The sequence below is a fragment of the Homo sapiens genome, chromosome 10 (assembly GCF_000001405.40).
Source record: "Homo sapiens chromosome 10, GRCh38.p14 Primary Assembly".
In the NCBI taxonomy this organism is placed as follows: Eukaryota; Metazoa; Chordata; class Mammalia; order Primates; family Hominidae; genus Homo; species Homo sapiens.
In genome coordinates this window covers 83,699,910-83,705,878 of record NC_000010.11, presented here as the reverse complement: position 1 = coordinate 83,705,878, position 5,969 = coordinate 83,699,910, and the positions used below count along the sequence as shown (strand labels likewise).

General features: G+C 39.4%; 2 annotated features.

Annotated features, from left to right (window-relative positions):
* Positions 3,496 to 3,996: an enhancer, noted in NCBI's record as "H3K4me1 hESC enhancer chr10:85461639-85462139 (GRCh37/hg19 assembly coordinates)". NCBI's record gives its function as "activates a minimal SCP1, AML or CMV promoter by ChIP-STARR-seq in naive H9 embryonic stem cells {active_cell/tissue: H9 hESC(naive)}" and the evidence as "EXISTENCE:reporter gene assay evidence [ECO:0000049][PMID:30033119]".
* Positions 3,997 to 4,497: an enhancer, noted in NCBI's record as "H3K4me1 hESC enhancer chr10:85461138-85461638 (GRCh37/hg19 assembly coordinates)". NCBI's record gives its function as "activates a minimal SCP1, AML or CMV promoter by ChIP-STARR-seq in naive H9 embryonic stem cells {active_cell/tissue: H9 hESC(naive)}" and the evidence as "EXISTENCE:reporter gene assay evidence [ECO:0000049][PMID:30033119]".

The window sequence follows — 5,969 nt, the reverse complement described above, 5'->3', positions numbered from 1 at the left end:
AGGGGATTATTTTGGGTTTAAACTAAAAATAGAACTACTATATAACTCAGTAATCTAACTTTTGGGTATATATCCAAAGGAATTGAAATTAGGGTTTCCAAGAGACAGCTGCACTCTCACATTCACTGCAGTACTAGTCACAATAGACAAGATATGGAATTAACCTAAGTGTTCATCCGCAGATGAATGGATAAATGTCTGCAAAAGGCAGACATTCTTTTTCGTTTAATTAGCTTTAAAAATAGTTTTATTTACATATCATGGATATATATACCATATATCCATGTGGAATCCCTATCACATATATATTCCATTGTGTGCATATATCACACAGCTTTACAAAAGGAGAAAATTCTGCTATTTGTAACAACATGGATGAACCTAGAAGACATTAGGCTAAGTGAAATAAGCCAAACACAGAAGAACAATACTATGTGATCCCACTCGTATGAGGAACGTAAAATAGTCAAACTCAGAGCAGCAGAGTTAATAGTGGTTTCCAGGGATCCAGGGGAGGGGGCAATGGGGAAGCGATTAGTTAAAGGATAAAAACTTTCAATTATGTGACACAAATAAGACTTAGAGATCTACTGCATAGCATAATTTCTATAGTTAGCAATAGTGTGTTATATACTTAAAAATTTTCTAAGAGAATGTATTTTATATTAAGTATTATCACACATAAAAACAATAATAATAAATACAGTGGGAGGAAACTTTTAGAGGTGATGGATATGTTAATGACAAAGATTCTGGTGACGCTTTCATCATTGTATACTTACGTCCTAACTCATCAAGTTGTACATATATTATATATGCAGCTATGTGTATGTTAATAATACCTCAATAAAGTTGTGAAAAGCATGAATCTCCAAAGATTACATACTATATGATTTCATCTATATAATATTCCCAAAATGAAAAAATTAAGGGAATGGAGAACAGATTAGTGATTTCCAGGAGTTAGGAATTACACCATCATTACTCTCATTTTTTAAAAGGAGGAAAATAAGGCTCAGGGTGGCTAAATGACTTTCATAGTTTTGTCCAGTTGGTAAATGATAAAATCCGGATTTTCATTTGTGCCTCTTTTGCTCCAAAGCTCAATTACAGCATATTAAACTCGCTCCACAAACAGACCAGGCAAAGGACAGTCTTTCTTTTTTTTTTTTTTTTTTGGTTTAATTAGCTTTAAAAATAAAAATCATGTATCTATTTATACATGGAGATCTACTTATAATATACATGCGTTTCCACAGCTTCTTCATTTTGAGATTTTCCTCTTAAGGAAAGACTGGCACAGTTCTTGATGATACAGAGAAGCCCAGCTGTTTAAATATTTAGGTAACCATATTGTAAAATGTATGCCTAGCCAAGAAGCCTTTTTTGCATGGAGACATAATTAAACAGGCAGATGAGCCCATGAAATATGTAAGGCTCCTTACAAATTCTCAAAGGAATCCTTTATAAACCAATAAGAAGATGTTAAGAGAAACCCCATCCTCCATGTGAGACAGAAAGGTCTGGGAGGATTTGAATGCTCCCAGAAAGAGCCACTGCGGTCACATTAGCAGGAGTCTGAGTACACATGGAGAACCAGAAGCACAACCCTCAGAGAGTTGGCATCTCTTTAGTCCCACAAAGGAGTCTCCAGCCTCTATACTCCAGTGGCCTGTTCTCATTTAGATTGCAAATCACTTTGCATGGGTTCCAGGGAATGCATTGAATGAACTCATGTTCGAAAGTTAGTTTAAGATCTGACTGGTATGTCCTTTGTTTGGTCAAATGCTTCCAGTGCCACTGGCTCTCTCCTGCATGGTAGTGAGGTCACATTAAGATTAATTACACACTTGATTTTTTGCTAAAGGCTTTGCTATAGACTCTGGTTAGTTGCATTTAGTTGCAAAATAGATAATAAAATTGCTTTAATAAAAGCAAAGCCTAGAATGCAGTAATAACAACAACAAAAATGAATCAGAATAATACTTTTGACTGCTATTATTAGACTCTTAAAATGTGCCTGGTACCATGCTATCTTCCTTTATACAAGTTGCATCTATGATCTTCACAACCTCCCTGGCAAAGGAACCATTTTAATCCCAATTTTCCTATGAAGAAATTGAGGCTCAATGACAATATCAAATTTTATCTGAGCCTGTGCTCCTGGAAAACAGCAAAAACTAAGAAATCTTCCCACACTTTGTGTTTCAGCCTTATTGTGAAGGATCATCCTTCCTGATATGACTTAGGCCAGACTCAGATGCCCGACCTTGTTCACTTATGAAAATGCCAGACACAGGCTCTCCAAATTTCTATTCTTTGCCCCATAAATGACTAGCTAGCTAAACTGTACCAACTGACAAGTGTAGACTAAAATACCTGTTACTATGACTTGAACAAACTTTATTCAATCTTTATTTCTTTCCCAACATCCCTGAACTTTGATTTACCCTTAACCTGAGCCAGCATACAGCCCCTCTTCCTGGCCCCTCCTGAGACTGTGCTACTCTGGGTAAAACCTCTCCGATTACCTGTCAGATCATGACAGCTGCCACCTCTATCCATTCATCCTGTTTCTTTCTATCTTTGTTTATTCCTCCGTATGCAGGAAAAGCCCTTTTCTGCCTAACCTTTCAGGCACTTGCAGATCTCACGGTGGGAGCCTTCTCCCTACTGCAGTAGTTGCTGTCCCGCAGTTGCAATAATATGTCTCCCCCTAATTCAATAATCCTTTGGAATAAAATCCTTCCTTATTTACGACCTGATTTGTTTTATTTTCTGTAAGTGATAGAACAGTGATTTAACCATATGCTTGCCTGAATCAAGATATCATACACAGCACTGCATAGGAATTAAAACTCTAGAAAGCGTATGCAGACTTCTCTCATCCCCAGAACTAGTTTTTCCATGGCACTCTGTCAATACATACATCACATCTTAGTTGCTTTCTATCCCCCCAACTGCACTGTGAGCTCCTCAATGGCAGGGTTTGCTTTTGAATCTATATCAAGAATCTGTCAAAACAAGTGTTTTCTGAAAGAATATGTAGTAAATATCATTTAGAATTAAATGACTGCTATCGTAGAGAAGGGGAAAAAAACCCACTTTTTTTCTACTTTTCTAAGTTTTCCAGCTATGAATTTGCAAATCAGACTGACAAAAGACAGATTAACAGGAAAATCAGAACATTAACACATGCAGCACACCTACACAGGAGAAACTCAGTGATGAGTCCCTCAGAAGGGTGGCCAGAACCTGGACTGATGTATTAATAGCATCTTAACTAAAAACAATGCATTTGCAGAGAAATGATAAGAACAAAAGAAAAGATTTTGGGATTCCAACGGTGGCAAACTCTGGGAAGGTACATATATGGGGGGACAAATGGAGTAAGACTTGTTTGCAAAGGTCCATCTCAAGGCTGACTTTCATCTTCTTCATGGTCATAAAACTTCCCCAGGAGAGAGGATTGGTGGCTGCCTTCATATTTCAAAAGTTTATGCTTTCAGTCAGATAAGAGAAGCCATGGGAAGACTTTTTACTGCATTTATTGAATCTTAAATATTTTCAGCTCAAAATAATCCTTATGCCAAAGTGGCAGGTTTGGGGGTGGCATATTTTAATCTCTAATGCTATGCTGAGAATGTCTTTTTTTGATCCTCAGATTCTTATTCCTATAATAAGCCCCAGATTCCAGGTGGTCAGTCCTCATTGTTCTCATAGTGCTGTGTAAGTTAGCCCTCAAAAGTGCCCTCTGGATACTGGCAAATTTGACCACATCTTCTAGATAAAAAGGGGTGCGGAAGTGTGCCAACATGCTGCTGTTCCTGCCAGCAAATCTAAGAGACTGTTGACACTGTTGCACTGGGCTGTCCAAAGAAATGTTTGTGATCATGCACCTGCCACCGGAGTTGGGAAATGCTGTGACCCACGTGCCATGCTCAAAGAACCAGGTTTGGTGATTCTTTTTCTTACAGTCAGAATACAGATCCCTGTGCTTACTTCTAGCTGGAGAATTCCTCAACTGACTGATTCATCCCCAAATTGGCTCCAATGCCCAATGCTATGGTACTTTACTGCCACTACAGTACTTTAGTGCCACTGACCAGAAGAGGCTTGGGATGGGCAAGGAGACCGCAGAGTGTTGGAGTATCATGGCTGAAGACAATGGCAATATCTGTAGTCATCAGAAGTGCACGTAGCATGACATTCAACAGCCTGGAAAAACACAGATTGACCTGAATATACACTAGTACAGAAAGCCTGGTCATCAGGCAGAACAAGAGGCTGAGAGGCCAGTGAGGACCTTGAGGGCAGCTGGGGACAAGTCAGTGAAGTGGCGTCATTGTCTGGGGTAAATACTGGAGGATTGTTGTCTCACACCAAGGGAATCAACGACGTGGACGCACAAGTAGTGACTTTGAAAGTGGAGGCATAATAGGCGAAAGAAAGAGAACAAAGAATAGCTCTCTCTCCTACAGAGAGAGAGGAGCTCCCAAGTGGGTCTTCCAGTTTCATGGTGGAATGCATGGGGTTTTACAGACAAGCTTGAAGAAGTAATGTCTGATTTATATAGGGCCTGAGAAATTGGTTGGACCAGTTGTGACATTTGCATAGCATGTGAAGAAGCTGGCCATCCCACCATAATCTTTTACTATGCAAATGGGATCTCTACCTTTCCTGGGCCATGTTGTCTTCCTTACTGTACACGTGGTTGACAAAGAAAAGGGAAGATGGAGCCATCAGGTTGAACATGCTGGCCCCCAGGTAGCCTTCTATGGGCACAGCTGCCAGTTTTCATCCGTACAAGCTTCCAACTATGTCTGCAGCTTGATTTTTAAGGCTGCTTTTAAACTCCATCTTTACTAAAAATACAAAAATTAGCTGGGCATGGTGGCATGTGCCTGTAATCCCAGCTACTCAGGGGGCTGAGGCAGGAGAATTGCTTGAACCCGGGAGGTGGAGGTTGCAGTGAGCTGAGATCACGCCACTGCACTCCAGCCTGGGCAACAAGAGTGAAACTCTGTCTCAAGAAAAAGAAATAATAATAATAACAAAATAATTTGGGGGCTACTTTTCACTAAAAGTAAAACCTTACCGAGGACTTTCTTACACTCATTATCTGCCTAAATAATTTCTTTTTAACTCCATTAACATCACCTTTTGGGTTTCTTTGTTCCTTGGGGACATGTAAACCTTCTTCTACCTCTAAACACCTTATTAGGTAGGGCTGGGGGAGGGGGAATACATTTAAGAGAGAAGAAAAAGACCTAATAAAAACTTACATAATTTGAATGTCATCCAAAAGATGAGCAGGATAGGTAAATAGCAGAAAAGAGCTTTATTGGTGATATTAGTTTGCAGGCTGGGAAGGGACAGTTTCCATTGTATATCAAAGGTACTCTGTCTTCAAAGAAGGGAAGGAGTTTGGGTTTTATGGCTCACAAGTTGGTATTAAATATATTTAGTTGGTTTGGGGGAAAAGCTGTACATATTTATGAGGGGAGTCGAACACAGGCACAGTGAGTAAACATGCATGTAACATATATCCTATGTTTACTTTGGAGCAGGGTTTTGCTTAAAATAGGGTGGAATTCTTTATGACACAAAGATCATTTGTGCACAGCCTCTATACGCTGCTGAAACTGGTTTAAAGTCTGCAATTGCTTATCAGAAAAGAATGTTTCTAAGGCTGGTCCTCTGTCCAGTTAGAATTGTAGTGACCTGGGTTGTAAGTCAGAGTTAGGACGGGTCTGATAATTCCTATTGTTAGGGAATTTAAAACCCTAAGAATGTAGAAATTTGCCTTGCCAGCTGGGCCCTGAACCCTCGACCTATAGGAACCTTGTTTTCTCAACCTTAGGGTCCATCTTAGTTGACAAAGGGTTATCTGTTTTGGTCTTTCAGATCATGTGATTTTGAGTTTATCAAAAAGAGAATGTTCAAAACTTAAAGGAACCAAGACAATT